General features: G+C 51.5%; 1 protein-coding gene across 25 annotated transcripts in view; it reads right to left on the bottom strand.

The window, feature by feature from the left end:
• SMARCA4 (SWI/SNF related BAF chromatin remodeling complex subunit ATPase 4) overlaps positions 18,791-23,148 on the bottom strand; it is a 101,244-nt gene continuing 96,886 nt past the window's right edge. For 16 of the 25 annotated variants that reach the window (XM_011528198.2, NM_001128844.3, XM_024451658.2 and 13 more), the window contains 5 exons: positions 22,701-22,809; positions 22,175-22,276; positions 21,179-21,311; positions 20,877-21,019; positions 18,791-19,280 (listed from right to left, as the gene is read on the bottom strand). In XM_011528198.2, coding sequence (XP_011526500.1) covers positions 19,248-19,280; positions 20,877-21,019; positions 21,179-21,311; positions 22,175-22,276; positions 22,701-22,809 — 520 coding nt within the window. In that variant the 3' untranslated portion in view covers positions 18,791-19,247. The remainder of the gene's footprint in view (positions 19,281-20,876; positions 21,020-21,178; positions 21,312-22,174; positions 22,277-22,700; positions 22,810-23,148) is intronic. The other 9 variants (NR_164683.1, XM_047439249.1, XM_024451663.2 and 6 more) reach the window with 1 other exon arrangement.

Raw genomic sequence — 23,148 nt, 5'->3', positions numbered from 1 at the left:
TAGTAGAGACGGGGTTTCACCATGTTTGTTGGCCAGGCTGGTCTTGAACTCCTGACCTCAAGAGATCTACCCACCTTGGCCTCCCAAAGTGCTGGGATTACAGGTGTGAGCCACCGTGCCCGAACTTTTTTATGTTTTTTTTGTTGTTGTTGCTGTTGTTGTTTCTTTTTTGAGACGGAGTCTTGCTCTGTTGCCAGGCTGGAATGCAGTGGCACAATCTCCTCTCGCTGCAACCTCTGACTCCCTGGTTCAAGTGATTCTCCTGCCTCAGCCTCCCGAGTAGCTGGGATTACAGGTATACGCCACCACGCCCAGCTAATTTTTGTGTTTTCAGTAGAGACAGGGTTTCATCATGTTGGCCAGGATGGCCTCGATCTCCTGACCTCGTGGTCTGCCCACCCCAGCCTCCCAAAGTGCTGGGATTACAGGCGTGAGCCACCGCGTCCGGCCTTATTTTTTTATTTTTATTTTTTTGAGGCAGCCTCTTTCTCTGTCACCCAGACTGGAGTGTAGTAGTTCAATCGTAGCTCATTGCAGCTCAACCTCCTGGGCTCAAGAGATCCTCCTGCTTCAGCCTCCAAAAAAGCTAAAACTAGAGGCATACACCACCATATCTACCTAATTTTTAAATTTTTTGTAGCGACAGGGTCTCACTATGTGGCCCAGACTGGTCTTGAACTCCTGGACTCAAGCAATCCTCCTGCCTGGGTCTTCCAAAGTCCTGGGATTATAGGCGTGAGCCAACATACCCGGCCGTAAAAATTTCATTCATGAAGTGTCCTTGTCTTCTCATCGTTTATGAATTGTATCTGTGTGAAACACATTGTTTACAGACTACTCCTAGTTAGATTTCACGAATGATTTCTGGAAATATCTAGAATGATCTGGAAGAGTCTGGAAAGCTTTGGAGGGATGGGAAGTCTGGCCAAAATTAGGAAGAGTCAGATTTCCATCTTGATTACGTTGCTTCTGTGACCTTCCTCGGACGAATCATTTCTTTCTGGGTCTTCTATTTACTCTTCATTCAAGCAACTTTTCTTGGCCAGGCGCAGGGGTTCACACCTGTAATCCCAGCACTCTGGGAGGCCGAGGCAGGTGGATCACGTGAGGTCAGGAGTTTGAGACCAGCCTGGCCAACATGGTGAAACCGCATCTCTACTAAAAATACAAAAATTAGCCAGGCATGGTGGCGGGCGCGTATAATCCTAGCTACTTGGAAGGCTGAGGCAGGAGAATCACTTGAACCCGGGAGACAGAGCTTGCAGCTTTTTTTTTTTTTTTTCTTGCGATGGAGTCTCACTCTTTTGCCCAGGCTAGAGTGCAGTGGCGCGATCTCAGCTCACTGCAAGCTCCACCTCCCGGGATGAAGCGATTCTCCTGCCTCAGCCTCCAGAGTAGCTGGGATTACAGGCATGCAGCATCATGCCCGGCTAATTTTTGTATTTTTAGTAGAGACGGGGTTTCACCATGTTGGCCAGGCTGGTCTCGAATCCCTGACCTCGTGATCTGCCCGCCTCATCTTCCCAGTGTTGGGATTACAGGTGTGAGCCACCATGCCCGGCCATATTTTTATTTTTATTTATTTTTATTTATCTGCTTTTGGGACAGAGTCTTGTTCTGCAGTCCAGGTTGGAGTGCAGTGGCGCAATCTCGGCTCACTGCAACCTCTGCCTCCAGGGTTCAAGCAATTCTCCTTCCTCAGCCTCCCGAGTAGCTGGGATTACAGGTGCCCGCCACCATGCCCAGCTAATTTTTGTATGTTTAGTAGAGACGGGGTTTCATCATATTGGTCAGGCTGGTCTAGAACGCCGGACCTCAGGTGGTCTGCCCACCTCAGCCCCCCAAAGTGCTGGGATTACAGGCGTGAGCCACTGCGCCCAGCCAGATTCTGCTTTTATTTTAGCTGACATGGCTGATGGTTCCAAAGGCCAAGGTCAGGTGTTTGTTGACCACAATCTAATCTTGGTCTACAAAGACCTGGGCTGCAAGGTCTTCCATTTCCCAGTGGTGGGCAGATCCGTTGCAGTTGCTGGGGAACAGACTCGCCGTTATCTGGCATGTGCGTAACTGTGGAAAAACCAAGATAGAAGGAAGGACATTGGCAGCAGCCAAGATGGGCCAGAGTCCTGTAATCCCAGCACTTTGGGAGGCTGAGGCGGAAGGATCACGGGGTCAGGAGTTTGAGGCTAGCCTGACCAATGTGGTGAAACCCCGTCTCTACTAAAAATACAAAAATCAGCCGGGCGTGGTCACAGGCACCTGTAATCCCAGATACTCAGGAGGCTGAGGCAGGAGAATCGCTTGAACCCGGAAGGTGGAGGTTGCAGTGAGCCGAGATCGCACCATCGCACTCTAGCCTGGGTGACAGAGACTGTCTAAAAAAAAAAAAAGAGGCCGGGCGCGGTGGCTCACTCCTGTCATCCCAGCACTTTGGGAGGCCCGAGGCAGGCGGATCATAAGGTCAGGAAATCTAGACCATCCTGGCTAACAGGGTGAAACCCCATCTCTACTAAAAAATACAAGAAATTAGCCGGGTGTGGTGGCGGGCGCCTGTAGTCCCAGCTGCTCGGGAGGCTGAGGCGGGGGAATGGCGTGAACTCAGGAGGCAGAGCTTGCAGTGAGCCGAGATCGCACCACTGCGCTCCAGTCTGGGCGACAGAGCGAGACTCTGTCTCAAAAAAAAATAAAAAATAAAAATAAAAGAGGGGCCAGAGTCCAGGACTCCAACCTGGCTGAGACTGAACTTCAACTACCCAAGTAGCAAGTGGCTACAACGTTTAAAATTGCACAGCCCCAGGTTCTGATCTGGAGATGGGGGTGGGGGCGTGGGGGCGGTGGTGGGGGCAGTGGGTGGGGGAAGGGTGTCTTATATGTTGCACTTCATTGCACAGATGTCGTATTGGCCGGGCACAGTGGCTCATTCCTGTAATCCCAGCACTTCGGGAGACCGAGACAGGAAGATCACTTGAAGCCAGGAGTTCAATACCAGCGTGGCCAACGTGGTGAAACCCCGTCTCTACTAAAAATACAAAATTTAGCCAGGTGTGGTGATGGTTACCTGTAATCCCAGCTACTCAGGAGGCTGAGGCAGGAGAATTGCTTGATCCTGGGAGGCAGAGGTTGCAGTGAGCCAAGATTGCGCCACTGCACTCCAGCCTAGGTGACAGAGTAAGACTCCGTGTCAAAAAAAAAAAAGAATGTCGTATGTATGGATTACCTGTGTGATTAAGAGGAGAAAGGTGGGCCGCGCCTGTAATCCCAGCACTTTGGAAGGCCAAAGTGGATCGTCTGAGGTCAGGAGTTCGAGACCAGCCTGGCCAACATGGTGAAACCCCGCCTCTACTAAAAATACAAAAAAATTAGCCGAGATCACGCCATTGCATTCCAGCCTGAGCAACAAGAGCGAAATTTTGTCTCATAAATAAAGAGGAGAAAAGTGAAATAAGCCAGTCACTGAAGTGGAGACACTGTAGGATTCAACTTATAGGCGGTCCCCAGAGTAACAGATTCACAGAAAGCAGATTCACAGAGTAGAACCTGGAGTAGAATTCTGGTTTGACCGTGATTAGGGAACGAGGCTGTGGGCTGGTTCTTACACTCGAGCATGTGTTGAGACTTGCCTGGTTTGAAATTCCCCTAGCACCAGAATAAAATGGGGGGTGCCAGGGGCTGGGGAGGTGGAATGGGGAGTGAGTGTTTCACGGGGACATAGTTACATTTGGGAAGATGAGAAAGGTGCAGATGGCTGGGAGCAGTGGCTCACGGCTGTAATCTCAGCAGTTTGGAGCAGACCACTTGAGGCCAGGAGTTCAAGATCAGCCTGGCCAATATGGTGAAACACCATCTCTACTAAAAATGCAAAATAATTAGCAGGGCGTGGTGATGTGTGTCTGTAATCCCAGCTACTGGGGAGACTGAGGCAGGAGAATAGCTTGAACCTGGAAGGCAGAGGTTGCAGCGAGCCAAGACCGCACCACTGCACTCTATACTGGGCGAGAGAGTAAGACCCTGTCTCAAAACAAACAAAAAAAAAGAGAAAGCTGGAGATGGACGGGGGCTGATGGTTGCACAACAATGTGAATGTGCTTAATGCTGCTGAACTGTGCACTTAAAAATGGTTAAGAGGGCTGGGCGCGGTGGCTCATGCCTGTAATTCCAGCACTTTGGGAGGCTGAGGCAGGTGGATCACTTGAGGTCAGGAGTTCGAGACCAGACTGACCAACATGGTGAAACCCCATCTCTACTAAAAATACAAAAATTGGCTGCGCATGGTGGCTCACGCCTCTAATCCCAGCACTTTGAGAGGCCAAGGTGGGTAGATCACTAAGTCAGGAGTTTGAGACGAGCCTGGCCAACGTGGTGAAACTCTGTCTCTACTAAAAATAAAAAAATTAGCCGGGCTTGGTGGCGGGCGCGTGTAATCCCAGCTACTCGGGAGGCTGAGGCAGGAGGATCGCTTGAACCCGGGAGGTGGAGGTTGCAGTGAGCCGAGATCACGCCACTGCACTGCAGCCTGGGTGACAGAGCAAGACTCCGTCTCAAAAAAAAAAAAAATTAACCAGGTGTGGTGGCACACGCCTGTAGTCCCAGCTACCTGGGAGGCCAAGGCAGGAGGATTGCTTGAACCCAGAAGGTTGAGGGTGTACTGAGCTGTGATCGTGCCACTGCCCTCCAGCCTGGGCAACAGAGCAAGACCCTGTCTAAAAAATAATAATACTAATACAAAAAGAAAACCAAAAAAAAAGAAAAAAAGGGAGGAAGGAGAGAGGAAGGAAAGAAAGGAGAAAAGAAAGGGGGCAGGAAGGGAGGAAAGAAGGACAGACAGATGGAAAGAGAAAGAAAAGAAAAGATTGTTTAAAACTCCTCCAAACCATCTGGCTAACCTTGGCTCCCAGCTTCTCTGCGTCAGCAATGACGAACTCTGGCCCTCCGGCTCAATGTCAAGGGCGCCACAGCCTCATGCATCTGTCTTGCCAGCCGACCTAACTCTGTTCCCCAGAACCCATAGGAATCCAGGGGGAAAAAGCCAGTGAGAAACCCCTGCAGGGGCCCCAAGACCTGTGTCTGTGTCTGCTCTTCTCCATCTGCATCTTAGTTCACAAGGCGACCCCATTGCCCTGCCTGGAATTGGGGCTCTGTCCTCGGTTGAATTGGTTAGAACTTGTGGTCTTAGGTCAAGGAGGAGACATCATCCCTGTCTCAGGGTGCGCTGGACAGGGCTAGGTGCCTGCCACACGAGCACTCTCCTTTTCTTTCCTTTTTAAATTAAAAAAACCTTTTTTTTTTTTTTTGAGACAGTTTTGCTGTGTCCCCCAGGCTAGAGTGCAGTGGCGTGATCTCAGCTCACTGCAAGCTCCGCCTCCCAGGTTCATGCCATTCTCCTGCCTCAGCCTCCCGAGTAGCTGGGACTACAGGTGCCCACCACCATGCTCGGCTAAATTTTTGTATTTTTAGTAGAGCCAGGGTTTCACCGTGTTAGCCAGGATGCTCTCAGTCACCTGACCTCGTGATCCACCCGCCTTGGCCTCCCAAAGTGCTGGGATTACAGGTGTGAGCCACTGCACCTGGCAAAAAAAATCTGTTTTTCATGTGTGTTTGTTTGGAGACAGGGTCTCACTCTCTCACCCAGGCTGGAGTGCAGTGGTGCAATCATGGCTTGCTGCAGCCTGGACCTCCCTGGGCTCAGGTGATCCTCCCAACTCAGCCTCCCCAGTAGCTGGGATTACAGACGTGTGCCACGACACCCGGCTAATTTTGTACTTTTAGTAGAGACGGGGTTTCACCATGGTGGTCAGGCTGGTCTCGAACTCCTGACCTCGTAATCACCCACCTCAGCCTCCCAAAGTGTTGGGATTGCAAGCGTGATCCCCCATGCCCGGCCCATCTTAACCACTTTTTTTTTTTTAGACGGAGTCTCACTCTGTCGCCCAGGCTGGAGTGCAGTGGCGTGATCTCGGCTCACTGCAAGTTCTGCCTCCCGTGTTCACGCCATTCTCCTGCCTCCGCCTCCCAAGTAGCTGGGACTACAGGTGCCCACCACCATGCCTGGCTAATTTTTTGTATTTTTTAGTAGAGATGGGGTTTCACCGTGTTAGCCAGGATGGTCTCGATCTCCTGATCTCATGATCCACCTGCCTCGGCCTCCCAAAGTGCTGGGATTACAGGCATGAGCCACCGCGCCCGGCCCATCCGAACCACTTGTAACTGCACAATTCAGAGGCATTAAGCGCATTCACACAGTTGTGCAACCACCACTACCGCCATCCATCTCCAGAACATTCTCAACTTCCCAAACTGAAACTCTGGCCACACCCCCTCCCAGCCCGTGGCACACACCATTCTACAATTCTAGGGACCTCTTATGAATGAGATCAGGCAGTATTTGTCCTTTCATGTCTGGCTTATTTCACTGAGCATAACATCTGTGTTGGAGCCTGTGTCAGAACTTCCTTCCTTCCTTCCTTCCTTCCTTCTTTTTTTTTTTAAGACAAGAGTCTCGCTCTGTCACCCAGGCTGGAGTGCAGTGACGCAATCTCGGCTCTCTGCAGCCTCTGCCTCCCGGGTTCCAGCGATTCTCCTGCCTCAGTCTCCCGTGTAGCCTGGCTTACAGGTGTGTGCCACCACACTCGGCTAATTTTTTTGTATTTTTAGTAGAGACGGGATTTCACCATGTTGGCCAGGCTGGTCTTGAACTCCTGACCTCAGGTGAACCGCCCCCTCCCCCCTGCCTCAGCCTCCCAAAGTGCTGGGATTACAGGCATAAACCACTATGCTCAGTGAGAATTTCCTTCCTTTTAAAGGCCAAATAATGTTCCATTGAATGGATACACCATCTTTTGTTTACCTGTTCTTCCATCCACGGACTCTTGGGTTGATTCAGCCTTTTGGCTGTGATGAATAATGCTGCTATGAACATGGACATGCAAATAATCTCTTTGAGCTCCCACTTTTTTTTTTTTTTCTGAGACGGAGTTTCTTTCTGTTGCCCAGGCTGGAGTTCAGTCGCGTGATTTCCACTCACTGCAACCTCCGCCTCCCGGGGTTCAAGCGATTCTCCTGCCTCAGCCTCAGTAGCTGGGACTACAGGTGTGTGCCACAACTCCCAGCTAATTTTTGTATTTTTAGTAGAGACAGGATTTCACCATGTTGGCCAGGCTGCACTTGAACTACTCCTGGCCTCAAGTGATCTGCTTGCCTCGGCCTCCCCAAGTGCTGCAATTATAGGTGTGAGGTACTGCGCCTGGCCATCCTGCTTTCAATTATTTTGGTGATATACCCAAAAGGGGAACTGCTTGGGTCCTATGGTAATTCCACTTATTTTCTGGAGAGGGAACCACCACACAGTTTTTAGTTTTTTGTTTTTTGTTTTTGAAATGGAGTCCCACTCTGTCACCCAGGCTGGAGAGCAGTGGCGCAGTCTCGGCTCACTGCAAGCTCTGCTTTCCGAGTTCACGTCATTCTCCTGCCTCAGCCTCCTGCGCCCGCCACATGCCCGGCTAATTTTTTGTATTTTTAGTAGAGACGGGGTTTCGCCGTGTTAGGATGGTCTCAATCTCCTGACCTCGTGATCCGCCCGCCTCGGCCTCCCCAAGTGCTGGAATTACAGGCGTGAGCCACCACGCCCGGCCTATTTTTGTATTTTTAGTAGAGATGGGGTTTCGCCCGTTGGCCAGGCTGGTCTCAAACTCCTGACCTCAAGTGATCCGCCCTCTGCGGCCACCCAAAGTGTTGGGATTACAGGTGTGAGCCACCACTCACCACCCCCGGGCAATCCTACTGATTTAAATGGGTTGGTGTAACTGATTGCAATTCTGACATACAGGCTTCAAAGAAAAAGTGCCACCTGCCCTTACGGGGCCTTCTGAGAGAGTATTTTACCTTAACTTTGATTTTGTGGACAGCCGTTTAGAATCACAATGAGCAGAAACCCTACCTCTGTCTTTTACTGTGTGACCTTGGGCAAGTTATTTTTCTTTTCTTTTTTTTTTTTTGAGATGGAGTCTCGCTCTGTTGCCAGGTTGGAGTGCAGTGGCTCTCGATCTCGGCTCACCACAACTTCCACCTCCCAGGTTCAAGGGATTCTCCTGCCTCATCCTCCTGAATAGCTGGGACTACAGGTGCTCACCACCATACCCTGGTAATTTTTGTATTTTTAGTAGAGACGGGGTTTCACTGTTGGCCAGGCTATTCTCGAACTCCTGACCTCATGATCTGCCTGCCTTGGCCTCTCAATGTGCTGGGATTCCAGATGTGAGCCACCGCGCCTGGCTTTCCTTTTTCTTTTTTAAAGGTTAAAGTAGGTTTCTTCTGGTCTGTTCAATAAAAGAACATAGTTTATGATCCATTTCAGTGATGCTGGTGTTTTTTTGTTTGTTTGTTGTTTTGTTTTGTTTTTGAGATGGATTTAGCTCTTGTTGCCCCGGCTGGATGGCGCAATCTCATCTCACTGCAACCTCCACCTCCCAGGTTCAAGCGATTCTCCTGCCTCAGCCTCCCAAGTAGCTGAGACTACAGGTGCCCGCCACCACACCTGGCTAATTTTTGTATTTTTACTAGAGACAGGGTTTCACCATGTTGGCCAGGATGGTCCCGAACTCCTGACCTCAGGTGATCCACCTGCCTTGGCCTCCCAAAGTGTTGGGATTACAGGCGTGAGCCACTGAGCCTGGCCAAAATTTCAGTCTTTTTAATGGCAGTGTAGTACTACATTGTGTATATACACCACATTTTCTTTATTCATTCAAACATTGATGGGCACTTAGGTTGATTCCATATTTTGGCTATTGTGAACAGTATGCTAATAAATAGGAGAACGTCTTTTTTTTTTTTTTTTTTTTCCTGAAACAGAGTCTTGTTCTGTCGCCCAGGCTGGAGTGCAGTGGCGCAATCTTGGCTCACTGCAACCTCTGCCTCTTGGGTTCAAGCAATTCTTCTGCCTCAGCCTCCCGAGTAGCTGGGATTACAGGCATGCACCACCATGTCCAGCTATCATTTACTTATTAAGAGGATTTATAACCAGTTTTTTTCTTTTTCTTTTGAGACAGAGTCTAATTCTGTCACCCAGGCTGGAGTGTAGTGATGTGATCACAGCTCACTGCAGACTTCACCTCCCGGATTCAAGCAATCCTCCTACCTCAGCCTCACGAGTAGCTGAGATCACAGGTGTGTGCCACCATGACCACCTAAGTTGTGAATTTCTTTTGTAAAGGTAAGGTCTCATTTTATTGCTCAGGCTGGTCTCAAACTCCTGGGCTCAGGTAATCCTTCTTGCTCAGCCTCCCAATGTGCTGGGATTACAGGTTTGAGCCACCACACCCGGCTTTTTTTCCCCCCTTTCTTCTTCTTCTTCTTTTTTTTTTTTTTTCTGAGATGGAGTCTTGCTCTGTCCCCAGGCTGGAGTGCAGAGGCGCAATCTTGGCTCACTGCAACCTCTGCCTCCCAGGTTCAAGCAATTCTCCTGCCTCAGCCTCCCAAGTAGGTGGGATTACAGGAGCCTGCCACCATGCCCGGCTAATTTTTGTATTTTTAGTAGAGACGGAGTTTCACCATGTTGGCCAGGATGGTCTTGATCTCTTGACCTCGTGATCCGCCCGCCCCGGCCTCCCAAAGTGCTGGGATTACAGGCTTGAACCACTGCGCCCTTCTTTTAAAAATAAAGACAGGAGGCTGGGCGCAGTGGCTCACGCCTGTAATCACAGAACTTTGGGAGGCTGAGACGGGCGGATCATGAGATCAGGAGATCGAGACCATCCTGGCTAACACGGTGAAACCCCGTCTCTACAAAAATCACAAAAAAATTAGCCAGGCGTGGTGGTGGGCGCCTGTAATCCCAGCTATTCAGGAGGCTGAGGCAGGAGAATGGCGTGAACCCGGCAGGTGGAGCTTGCAGTGAGTTGAGATTGCACCACTGAACTCCAGCCCGGGTGACAGAGTGAGACTCCGTCTCAAGAAAATAAATAAATAAATAAATAAATAAATAATAAATAAATAAAGACAGGACTCTCACTATGTTCCCCAAGGGGGTCTCAAACTCCTGACCTGAAGCGATCCTCCCGCCATGGCCTCTGAAACTGATTATAGGTGTGAGCCACTGTGCCCAGCCTGAACAGTTTTTCTAATGCACTCGTGTTTCTTCTTTGCAGTTCTTTTTTGGGGCCTCTAAAGAAATAAGAGGCCGGGCGCAGTGGCTCATGCCTGTAATCCCAGCACTTTGGGTTGCCAAGGTGGGCAGATCATCTGAGGTCAGGAGTTCAAGACCAGCCTGATCAACATGGCAAAATCCCGTCTCTATTTAAAAAAAAAAAAAAGCCAGGTGTGGTGGCGGGTGCCTGTAATCCCAGCTACTCAGGAGGCTGAGGCAGGAGAATCTCTTGAATATGGTAGGGGGAGGTTGCAGTGAACTTAGATCCAGCCACTGCACTCTAGCCTGGACGAGAGTGAGACTTCATCTCAAAAAAAAAAAAAAAATAGAAGTAGGAGGAACTTCTCTTCTGTCAATTTCTCTTTTTTCCTTTTGTAGAGACAAAGTCTTCCTCTGTCACTCAGGCTGGAGTGCAGTGGTGGGATTACAGCTCACTGCAGCCTTGCCCCCCTCAACCTAAGTTATCTTCTCACCTCAGCCTCCTGAGTAGCTGGGACTACAGGCGGACACCACCATGCCTGGATAATTTTTTTTTTTTTTTTTTGTAGACACGGTGTCTCACTATATTGTCCAGGCTGATGTCAGACTCCTGGGCTCAAGTGCTCCTCCTGCCTCAGCCTCCCAGTGTGCTGGGATTACAGGTGTGAACTACCATGCCTAGCCTCCCTGTCAACTTCTCAAAGTGCTTATTTATTCAGCATACACACTAGCATTTCCTTTTCTGTTTTCTTTTTTTCTTTTTTTGAGACAGAGTCTCGCTCTGTCGCCCAGGTTGGAGTCCAGTGGTGCAATCTGGGCTCACTGCAAACTCTCTGCATTCCGGGTTCAAGCAATTCTCCTGCCTCAGCCTCCCAAGTAGCTGGCTGCTACAGGCGTGCACCACCACACCCGGCCAGAAATATGCTTTGAAAACTGAGCTTTGTAGGACTTTTTTGTAGAGCCTAGGCTGCTCTTGAACGTCTGGGCTCAAGCGATCCTCCTACCTCAGCATCCCAAAGTGCTAGGATTATACGCGTGAGCCACAATGACCCGCCCCAAGTGCTTCCTGCCCCAGATTACCAAAGAAGGCAAGAAGGGGCGGGAACTGATGTCTGAGGGCTCTGAGGGAGATTCACCACATGAGGGGTTGCAACAACAGGCCCCTGCGCATGCCAGTGTCTAGAAGTATGTGGTATAGAATTTTAGCTGAGGCTTAGAGAAGGCTGGGCAGGTGCCAGGCTCAGCTGACCAGGCCCCCTTGTGCATTGAGGAACTGCAAGAGTTTAGAACCCTCTGGCCACATGGAGCGCAGCGTGGGTGGAAGCGGAGAAACCAAGGAGTTGACCATGCTGGTCTAGGCCAGCTATAGGCTGAGGCTGGTGCAGGTGAAGGTCAAGGGTGGAGAGAGAGGTGGGTGGGTTGAGGGGATATTTAGGAAGGAGAATGAGTGGGTGAGGGGGGATCGGCTGGTGTGGCCTGATGGAAAGGGATGGCAGCTGACATGGACTCCTTGTAGGCCAGTGGCCACTTGTGAGGTGGGGACACAGAAGCAGAATCAGACATGGGTGGATCAGGAGGAGCTGGGCTCTGGACACCTCATTCATATTAACGCTCCAGCAGGTAAGAATTTTTTTTTTTTTTTTTTTGAGTCATAGTCTTGCTGTGTTGGGCAGGCTGGAGTGCAGTGGCATGACCTTGGCTTATTGCAACCTCCGCCTCCCGGGTTCAAGCGATTCTCCTGCCTCTGCCTCCTGAGTTGCTGGGATTACAGGCATGCACCACCATGCCCCGCTAATTTTTGTATTTTTAGTAGAGATGGGGTTTCACCATGTTGGCCAGGCTGGTCTCAAACTCCTTGCCTCAAGTGATCCGCCCACCTTGGCCTCCCAAAGTGCTCAAATTACAGGCTTGAGCCACAAGGCACGACCAAGAACGGTCTTATTTCAGTAGAAATCTTTGAGACCATGACAGAAACTAGAATCCAAGTGTGCTGTTGACCAAAACATTGGTGAGGAATCAAGAAGAGGTTCTGGCTGGGCGCAATGGCTCACACCCTATAATCCCAGCAATTTGGGAGACTGCAGTGGGAGGATCCCTTGAGCTCAGGAGTTCGAGATCAGCCTGGGCAAGATAGTGACACCTTGTCTCTATTCAAACATACAGAAACTGGGCCAGTACTTTGGGAGGCTGAGGCAGGCAGACCACTTGAGATCAGGAGTTCAAGACCAGCCTGGCCAACATGGCAAAACCCTGTCTCTATTAAAAATACAAAAAATTAGCTGGGCATGGTGGCACGTGCCTGTAATCCCAGCTACATGGGAGGCTGAGGCAGGAAAATCGCTTGAACCCGAGGCAGAGGTTGCAGTGAGCCAAGATTGCACCACTGCGCTCATGGCTGGGCCACTGAGCAAGACTCCACCTCAAAAAAAAAAAAAAAAAAAAAAAGGGATCTGCCCAACTCGGCCTCCCAAAGTGCTAGGATTACAGGCATGAGCCACCACACCCGGCCCAAAAAGTGGCTCTTAAAATGGCCAGGCAGCCGGGTGCAGTGGCTCATGTCTGTAATCCCAGCACTTTGGGAAGCCGAGGTGGGTGGCACGAGGTCAGGAGTTTGAGACCAGCCTGGCCAACATGGCAAAGCCCCGCCTCTACTAAAAATACAAAAATTAGCTGGGCGTGGTGGCGGGTGCCTATAATCCCAACTACTTGGGAGGCTGAGGCAGGAGAATCACTTGATCCTGGGGGGAAAAGTTGCAGTGAGCTGAGATTGCGTCACTTCATTCCAGCCTGGGCAAAAGAGCAAAACTCTGTCTCAAAATATATATATATATATATATATATATATATATATATATATATACAAAAATAAAAAATAAAAATAAAAAATAAAATGGCCAGGTGACCTCACCATCTTGGGGAATCTCTTAACGCCACCCTTCCCTCCCCCACTGCCAAGGGTAACAGCAGCAGTTCAGGCTGTTTTGTGTTTGGGGTGGGTCCTGACACAGCTTTCTCTAAATGTGATGTACTAGTGACATGGTCCAGAACACATATCCAGGATCCAGTGTGTGTCCATCTTGCTGGACATTTGCTTCACTGTGCAGCCTGCTGTTCTATCCTCAACAATGTTCTCAAGATCCTTCCACGTTTAATTAGATCCCTGTCATTTAAAAAATTATTTTATGATGTTCCAGTACTGTTGCTGCCTAACAGCTTAGTGGCTTAAAACAATGTGTTTATTAGCTCTTGTGGTTTCTAAGGGTCAGGAATGTGGGAAGGGCTCAGCTCGGCGGTACGGGCTCAGGGTCTCTGATGCAGCTGGTGACAGCTGAGGGCTAGGGCTGGGGCAGCCATTGCTTTCTCTTCCCGTGGTCTTGGTGGCCTTATAGCATGGGCTTGGTTGGGCCTCCTCACAAAATGGCAGGCTCCAGGAAGTCAGGCTGTTACATGGCAGCTGGTGATTCAAGAGTGAGCGAGCAAGCAAGGCGGAAGCTGTGCTTTCTGTGACCTACTCTTAGTAGTTACATGATGTCACTTCCATTGAACTCTGTTGGTTACCAGTGAGTCCCAAGTACACTCAAACTCCAGGGAAGGAAAAGGAGACTCCATGACTTGATGGAAGCAAGACTCTAGGAGAGGCCGGGCCTGGTGGCTCATGCCTGTAATCCCAGCACTTTGGGAGGATGGGGCAGGCGGATCACCTGAGGTCAGGAGTTTGACACCAGCCTGGCCAACATGGCAAAACCACGTCTCTACTGAAAATACAAAAATTAGCTGGGTGTGGGTGCGCGCCTGTCGTCCCAGCTACTCGAGAGGCTATGGTGCCACTGTACTCCAGCTGCGCAACAGGGCGAGACTCTGTCTCAAAACAAAACAAAAAGAATCTAGGAGAGCCAGCCTAGATGGCTGGATGGGAAAGCGCATGACCCCCTGCCACATATGATGTCCCGTATTATTCTTCCCACCCCCTCCTAGTCCAGGCCGTGTCAGGTCCCATCATGCCCTGACCATCCGGCGTTTCAGCTTTAAGGTCCTGCTCACTCCTGTCTTGTGGCAGCCTCTCCTGACTCCTGGGGACACACCGACCTGCCCGCCATTGCTTAGTCCACCACCTGGTTCCAGGCGCCATTTCAACTTTCAAGTCTCAGGGTCCTTGCTCCAGACCCCAGAGCAGGTGGCAGCCCCTGAGGAGTCTCATGTCCCCCAAACCCAAGCTCAGATCTGTGTAGCCTTAGGCCACTGGCTCAACCTCCCCGAGCTCCACTTGTGTCATCTGGGAAACAGGAATGAAGTCCCCCAGCCCTTGGGGTTGTTGGGAGAAGGGCACTGGCCAGCGGGACTGAAAGACAGAGGAAAGGCCTGCGAGAGGGGCAGGTGTGGAGAGCAAAGGTCAGGAAGGGCAGCAGCCAGCCAGCAGCTGTCACCAGGTCACACAGGTGAAGGCCCCTGGCTTGGGGCCACTGCCATATGGGGACCAAGCTGGTTCCAGGCCCTCAGGCCAAAGCCGATGTCTGAGACCTGAGTCAGACAGGCCTGCAGCCCGGACCACTCATCTGCACCACAGCTAACATGTCCCTGTGTCCCCATGACATGGGTTTTGCACAGGTGGACACTCAAAGTTATTTCTGTAGGCTCCCCTCATTTTTTTTCTTAAAAAATTTTCCTTAAAAAATTTTTTTTTGAGACAGGGTCTTCCTCTGTCTCCTAGGCTGGAGTGCGCTGGTGGGATCACAGCTCACTGCAGCCTCGAACTCCTGGGCTCAAGTGATCCTCCTGCCTCAGCCTCCCAAGTAGCTAGGACTACAGATGTGTACCACTGTGCCTGGCTAATTTTTTTATTTTTGTTGTTGAGATGGGGGGTCTCTATGTCGTCTAGGATGGTCTCAAATTCCTGGCCTCAAGCAATCTTCACAATCTTCCTGCCTCAGCCTCCCAAAGTGCTGGGATTATGGATATGGGCCAACACCCCCAGACTAAGGCACTTATTTTTAAATTGGCCTCATTCTGAAAACCATGAAATCATAGGTTTGGTGAGTTGGTTTTCCATAAACGTTAAAATAAATTCTGGCTGGGAGTGGTGGCTCACATCTGTAATCCCAGCACTGTGGGAGGCCAACGTGGACAGACTGCTTGAGCCCAGGGGTTTGAGACCAGCCTGGGCAACGTGGCAAAATCCTGTCTCTACTAAAAATACAAAAAAATTAGCCAGATATGGTGGTGCACGCCTGTAATCCCAGCTACTCAAAAGGCTGAGGTGGCAGAATTGCTTGAGCCCAGGAGGCGGAGGTTGCAGTGAGCAGAGATCATGTCACTATACTCCAGCCTGGGTGACAGAGCAAGACCCTGTCTCAAAAATAAATAAATAAAAAATAAATAAATTATAATCTATTAAAATAAAGCCAAAGCTATTGCAACAAACGAAATGTGGATTTTCCCAAATGGTGGAGTGAAGATCTTGGCAAATCCTCTCCCTAAAAGCAACAATAAAGCTAAACAGAATTGTCCAAAGCAACCATCCCAGGACTGTGAAGATCTCGTCAAAGGTGTTCACCCAGTGAGGAAATGTTTATTCCAGAAAAAGTACTGAGTGGCAGGGAAGAGCAGCGGGAGGTGATTTTTGCCTGGGGCTGCTCCTGGCCTGGGCCCCCAGCTCCAGCCAGGCCATGAAAATCAGCAGCCTCACTGCTGGAGGGCCTCACTGTTGGAAGCTGCAGGGATCTCGGGAGGAGAGGGCCAAGGTCATCAGCTGGCCTAAGGATGAAACAGATTGGTAAACTAGCCAGAAATGGAAAAGGAGGTCGAGACAGAGACTGCCCCAGCTGGCCCCAGGTATCCCTAGGGGTTTGGGAGGCCACGCGCAAGCGCAAGACAGCACATATGCCCTGGAGAGAGTCTGATGCACGTCTCCCTGCCCAACAGAACTGAAGTGCGTGCCCTGATAGGAACCACAGGCAGAAAGCAAAGGTAGGGCCAGCCTGCAGACTGCCCGGGCAGAGGTGCTGACTCAGCATTTGGGCCCGGGCAGAGCCGCTGACTCAGCATATTTGGGCACAAGTTCTGACCAACCACCAACTGATGTCTCAGCTTGGCTGACCCAGGGGTGACTCCTTCTAAATAAAAATGAGAATTGGGCCAGGCGCGGTGGCTCACACCTGTAATCCCAGCATTTTGGGAGGCAGAGGCGGGCAGATCACTTGAGCCCAGGTGTTCAAGACCACCGTGGGCAACATGGAGAAACCCTGTCTCTACCAAAAAAAAAAAAAAAAAAAAAAAATTAGCTGGGTGTGGTGGCACAAGCCTGTAGTTCCGGCTACTCGGGAGGCTGAGGTGGGAGGATGGCTTGAGCCCGGGAGGCTGTAGTGAGCTGAAACTGCACCACTGCAGTCCAGCATCAGTGACAGCGCAAGACCTTGTCTCCGAGGGGAAACATGAAAGAAAGAAAAGAAAAACAACAATTAAGAACAAAACAAGGCCAGGCGCGGTGGCTCGCGCCTTTAATCCCAGCACTTTGGGAGGCCAAGGTGGGCAGATCACCTGAGGTCAGGAGATCGAGACCAGCCTGGCCAACATGGTAAAACCCCGTCTTTACTAAAAATACAAAATACAAAAATTAGCCGGGCGTGGTGGCGGGTGCCTGTAATCCCAGCTACTCCAGAGGCTGAGGCAGGGGAATCGCTTGAACCCAGGAGGCGGAGGCTGCAGTCAGCCGAGATCGCACCACTGCACTCCAGCCTGGGCGACAGTGAGAGACTCCATCTCAAAAACATAACAAAATTAAAAACAAATAAATAAAAATACAATGTCTACTTTCTGACAACAAAAGCTTGCCAGACATGTGAAGAAACAGGAAAGTGTGACCTACGCTGAGGACAAAAAGGAGTCAACAGAACCTTTCTGTGGAGGAATGGATCCGGATGTTGGACCAAAAGGCTTCAAAGCAGCTACTAAAAACAGGTTCAAGCTGGGCTGGGTGGTGCATGTCTGTGGTCCCAGATACACTGGAGGCTGAAGAGGGAGGATCATCTGAGCTCTGGAAGTTGAGCTACCATCCCACCACTGCACTCCAGCCTGGGCAACAGAGCAATACCATGTCTCGATTAAAAAAAAAAAATAGAGCGGCTGAGGCAGGAGGATCACTTGAGCTCAGGAGTTCAGACCACCAGCCTGGGCAACAAAGCGAAACATTATCTCTACAAAAAAAATAATAATAATAATAATTAGCCAAGTGTGCTGGTGTGCACCTGTGGTCCCAGCTACTCAGGGGGCTGAGGCAGGAGGATCACTTGAGCCCAGGAGGTCAAGGCTGTTGTGAACTGTGATGACACCACTGCACTCTAGCTTGGGTGACACAGCAAGACCTTGTCTCAATTAAAAACAAAACAAAAAAAAAGGTTCAAAGAGCTAGAAGAAACCACATCTCAAGAATTAAAGCCAAGTATGACGACAGTGACCCACTAATAATGGCTCTTAATGAACAGACAAAAATGATAAGAATTCAAATTGGTTAGGCACAGTGGCTCACGTCTGTAATCTCAGCACTTTGAAAGGCTGAGGCGGGTGGACTGCTTGAACCCAGGAGTTTGACACCAGCCTGGGCAACATTACAAAACCCTGTCTCCACCAAAAACAAAAACAAAAACAAAAATTACCTGGGCATGGTGGCGTGCACCTATAATCCCAGCTACTCAGGAGGCTGAGGTGGGAGGATTGCTTGAGCCCAGGAAGCATAGGTTGCAATGAGCCAAGATTGAGCCACTGCACTCCGGCCAAGACTTACTGTAAAAAAACTCAAAGCACGGTGGCTCATGCCTGTAATACCAGCACTTTGGGAGGCCAAGGTGGGTGGATCACTTGAGGTCATGGGTTTGAGACCAGCCTGGCCAACATGGTGACACCCTGCCTCTACTAAAAATACACAAATTAGGGGCTGGGCACAGTGGCTCATGCCTGTAATCCTTGCACTTTGGGAGGCCGAGGCAGGTGGATCACCTGAGGTCAGGAGTTTGAGACCAGCCTGGCTAACATGATGAAACCCATCTCTACTAAAAATACAAAAATTAGCTGGGCATGGTGGCGCACCCCTGTAATCCCAGCTACTCAGGAGGCTGAGGCAGCAGAATCACTGGAACCCAGGAGGCTGAGGTTGCGGTGAGCCGAGATCATGCCACTGCACTCCAGCCTGGGTGACAGAGACTTCGTCTCAAAAACAAAACAAAACAAAACAAAAAAACAAAAACTCAAATTATGTTCTGGATTTGAAAGGGAGCAGGCGGCTCCGTCCCTTCCCTCACTGACCACCTGGGCTCCCATTATGCCCTGAGCTTCCTGCATCATGGCCCTGAGAGCTCTATGTGGCATCTGCCCATTTCTGTGATGGTCTCCCCAACCCAGGCTGGGCCACGGGCAGGGAACGGATGGAGCTGCCTGCTCCCTGCACTGTAGGTCTCAGCTGAACAAATGCTGGAGACCTGCAGTGGCAAAGGCCACACGCGTGACCAGACAAGTCCTCTTCCCCTGCCGGGGCCTCAGTATCCTCCTCTGTGAAACGGGCCCCATGGGTTCTGGTGCCAGGAGAAGGACAGGGACCTGGACATGAGGTGGCCCCCGCCACTCCTGCTGGCAGAAACGGTGGGAGCCAGGCACAAGTCCACCTGCAGGCAAGGCTGTGCGTTTTGTTGTTGGTTTAATTTATTACTGTTTGACATCCAGTGACACTGACATACCCTCGCCGGGCCCCCGGCGAGTCTGACCTGTCCAATAAAATACAGTAGGAGGAGTGGACGGTGACGCACATGCATCCACACTTAACTACAGTGACTCCAAACTGCGGCGCAACAGTACTGCCAGCAACGGAAAAGAAAAACAGGTATCGTGTGTTCCCCAATTCGGAATTCTCTCTCTCTCTCTTTAAGACAGTTAATGCTGTTACAGATGCTACTGATGCCAGGACAGGGCCAGTCACAAACAGTCCTACAGCTTCTCTGCTGTATAAATATGGAAGATTCTTTTGTTTATACAGTTTTACTCCAAGTCTGAAACTACATCTGCTGCTACCCGTTACTGCTAAGGCCTATGCCATCTCAGCTCTGGAACGAGGGGCTCGGGGTCGAGACTGGAATGTCGGGGCTCAGTCTTCTTCGCTGCCACTTCCTGAGCGGTCCTGGAGAGGGGACAGGAGGAGAGAGTGTGCGTTGGCCACCCCTGCCAGGGCACCTTGCCAGGGACCTGCCAAACTTTAAATAAACTTGCTCAAGAAAACACTGATGTGGGCCGGGCACGGTGGCTCACGCCCGTAATCCCAGCACTTTGGAAGGCCAAGGCGGGCGGATCACGAGGTCAGGAGATCGAGACCATCCTGGCTAACACGGTGAAACCCCGTCTCTACTAAAAAATACAAAAAATTAGCCGGGCGTGGTGGCGGGCGCCTGTAGTCCCAGCTACTTGGGAGGCTGAGGCAGGAGAATGGCGCGATCCCGGGGGGTGGAGCTTGCAGTGAGCCGAGATGGCGCCATGGCCATGCCCAAACTTCATGTTTCTCTACAGGACGAGTCCCTGTGACCACACTCGGCCCTCTCGGGACCTTCGAGGCTCCACGTGCCTTCCCTGCTCTGTCCCATGTCACCTGCCTGGCCCTTGGCCCCTGACCTACAGCTTCCAAACCATCTTGGTTCTTCCTGACTGTGAAAGATCTTTGCTCTTTCATATATATATATATATATATATATATATATATATATATTTTTTTTTTTTTTTTTAAAGACAGGGTCTTGCTCTGTTGCCCAGGCTGGAGTGCAGTGGTGCTATCACGGCTCACTGCAGCCTCGACCTCCCAGGCTCAAGTGAGCCTCCTGCCTCAGTTTCCCAAAGTGCTGGGATTACAGGTGTGAGCCACTGGACCTGGCCTCATAAAACCTTTTTAAACAGCCTGGCATGGGCCATAAAACACCCTGCTCTGGATTAGGCAAGAGAGACAGCATCACAGCCCAGACCCTCCTGCCTGACACAGGGGCCTCCCCTCCACATGAGGACTTCATGAATGTCCTCAAACGTCACGTGCGTCTTTCGTCAGACTAATTCCCAGGCACTGAAATTTGCTGCTTCTGTGATGACAAAATGGCATTCGCTGGGCTTCAGCGGGAGCCAGGCCCTTCGGTGGGGGCAGCCCCCTAATCCATGCAGCCTCCTTGCTTTGCATAAGAGGAAACTGAAGCTTGAGAAGCAAAGTGACCTGCCAGGTCCCACAGCCAGGAAGGGCCAGAGACAGAGGTGAGATTATTTAAAGCCAGCAAGTGGATCTTCTCCGGCTCCCCACTGCACCCCAAAAACTATCCACTGTGGTCTTGGCGTTTCTGCCCATTCTCTATGCCACTGAGGAGACGGGGCACTGTCTGGTGGGTCCCCAATCCTAGCACCTCCTACCCAACCCTAATCAAGCCCTGGCCTGCCCGGCCTCAGCCCAGGAGCCCTGGTGCCCTGGGACCGCCTGCTGCCTGTCCTGAGGACTCACGTGTCCCCCAGTCCCCAGACACCCACGGGTACTGAGAGCTGGTTCCGGGGTCACACAGGCTTGGCTTTGAGTGGCAGCCCTGCCACATACTGGCTGTGTGACCTGGGGTCAGCCATGGCAGGTCAAGCCTCAGCTTTCCCACCTGCAGCGTGGGGGCGTGGGAGCACCGCCCCACAGGGCTGTCCCATCAGGGCCCCGGGATGCCTCCTGCCACATGCCAGCTCTGCCTGCTCGGGGGCCCGGCCTCACCTCCTCTTGTTCCTCCTCACTGTCATCGTCACTCACGACCGGCTTGGCTCGGGACCCTCGGCTCGGCCGCCGCCGGCCGCCCTTCAGCCGGTCCTGTGCCTTCTCCTTCCGGCCAAGCTTGATCTTCACTTTGACGGACCGAGCTGGAGGGGACCGGGAGGGAAAGACAGCCTTGAGCTCTGGGAATGCAGCACCCCCACAGCAAGGGGCGTCTGGGAGCCGGGAGGGCTGTGAAAAGCTGGGGCCTTGGGGGCTCTCGGGCCAGCGTGAACCCCGGCGTCCTGAACCCCCCCGGGACTCACATTCGGATTCGGAGCCTTCCTCCTCGCCCTCTTCCTCCTCCTCACTCTCCTCGCCTTCACTGTCATCCTCCTTCTCGATTTTCTGCCGCACGCTGGTGAAGACCGACTGCAAGACGATGGAGTCTTCATAGATCTGGGCAGAGACACCAGGGGCTTGAGTGGATGGGCCCGACTGGAGGGCTGCCTGCCCGGCCCTGGCCCCAGCCCCAGCCCCAGCCCTGTGTTGCCCCTGGACAGCTGATCAGTGGCCAATGCGAGCCTCAGCGGGTCGGGGCTTCAGCCCACCCAGGGTGGAAGGCCCTCTCCATAATCTTCCTCCATAGGGGCCCGAGCATCAGACTTCTGAAATGCTCCAGGGTGAAAGGTCAGGCACACTGGTTTGGGAATAGCTGCAGGTGCCTCCCTCCTTCTGCACAATCTCTGAGGTCTGCAATAACATTGGAAATACATGCCCCTTGTTGAAGCCAGCATCTTTCCCAAACTCATCAAAGTCAAGTCTTTTTTCTGAGAGGAATCAATCCCAAAGACACTTAAGAAAGTTTGCCAAGTTGAGGCTGTGTATGTGTCAATTCTATCACAGGAAAGAACAAACCCACAGGATTCCTTTGAAGAGAATGTGCCCCAGGGAATTTAAAATAAAATTCCAACAGACAGAGGACTCTGAGTCTATTTCTTCTGTTGTGCCTATCTTTATTTTCTTCGGTAAATACATACTGCTTTTGTAATTGCTAAAATATCCCAAGTTGGAAATTTTTAATTTTTTCTTTTTTTTTTTTAAAGACAGGGTCTTGTTATGTTGCCCAGGCTGGTCGTGAACTCCTGGTCTCAAGTGATCCTCCCGCCTTGGCCTCCCAAAGTGCTGGGATTACAGGCACGAACCACCACAGCTAGCGGGACTTGTTTTTAACCCATCAATTCAGAAGGGAAGGAGGGGCGGGTTGGGTCAAAGCCCAGCTGTGGGAGTGGCCCATCCCCAACCCCCAGCGGTGCCCTCACCAGGGAGCCCTCCAGGTTGAAGGTCTGTGCGTTCTGGCACAGGAGCATGACGTCCTTCTCTAGGTCGTTGAGGCTGCGGTACTTGTGGTTGCGAATGCGCTCCTGCAGTGGACGGGAGGAGCAGGTCTTACCTCAGGACCCCGCCTCGCCTGCCCGCAGGCCTGGCTGTGTGCTGGAGACCCCACGGGCTAGGATTCCTCGTGCCTATGAGGATGTGGCCGAAGCGCCAGCCTCGGTAACCTGGCTCACTAGGCATGGGAACTGCATGACTGAGGCCCAGCACTAAGTGAGTGGGACCTTGAAGGAACACCCAACACCGACTGCCCACTGACATCCCTCAGGACACCCCCAACCCTTACAAGGAACCCCAAAAGCCCACGACCAGGTCCCTAACCAGGTAGCCCAAGGCACCGCCTAGGTGGTTTCTGGTCATTCTGCCCACACACCACAGCTCTCAGATGGGGGTGCCCCTGGGTCAGACTCCCCTCCGGGCACATGCGGGGCGCAGGTACAACGTCAGGGTTACCTTTATCTTCTTGAAGTCCACGGGCTTGCGGATGAGCTCGTAGTACTCGGGCAGCTCCTTTCGCGAGGGCAGCTGGATGAAGACCTCGCTGAGCTGACGTCCACTGCTGCTGCAAGGCAGAACCGGCGGCTATCACCCCCGAGTCCGCCCACCCGGGAGCCCCCACCCCACCTCAGCAGGTTCCCACATTGTTTAAGGATGAGAAATTCCAACTCAGCTCAGGAGCTATTTCTTGCACATGCGCTTTTTTTTTTTTTGAGACGGAGTTTCGCTCTTGCTGCCCAGGCTGGAGTGCAATGGTGCGATCTCGGCTCACTGCAACCTCCACCTCCCAGGTTCAGGAGATTCTCCTGCCTCAGCCTTTGGAGTCACTGGGATTTTTTACAGTCGTGCACCACCATGCCAGGCTAATTTTGTATTTTTAGTAGAGACAGGGTTTCTCCATGTT

Source organism: Homo sapiens, chromosome 19, assembly GCF_000001405.40.
Source record: "Homo sapiens chromosome 19, GRCh38.p14 Primary Assembly".
Classification (NCBI taxonomy): Eukaryota; Metazoa; Chordata; class Mammalia; order Primates; family Hominidae; genus Homo; species Homo sapiens.
Note: the sequence above shows the minus strand (reverse complement) of the source record. Positions and strands in the feature narration are given on the sequence as shown.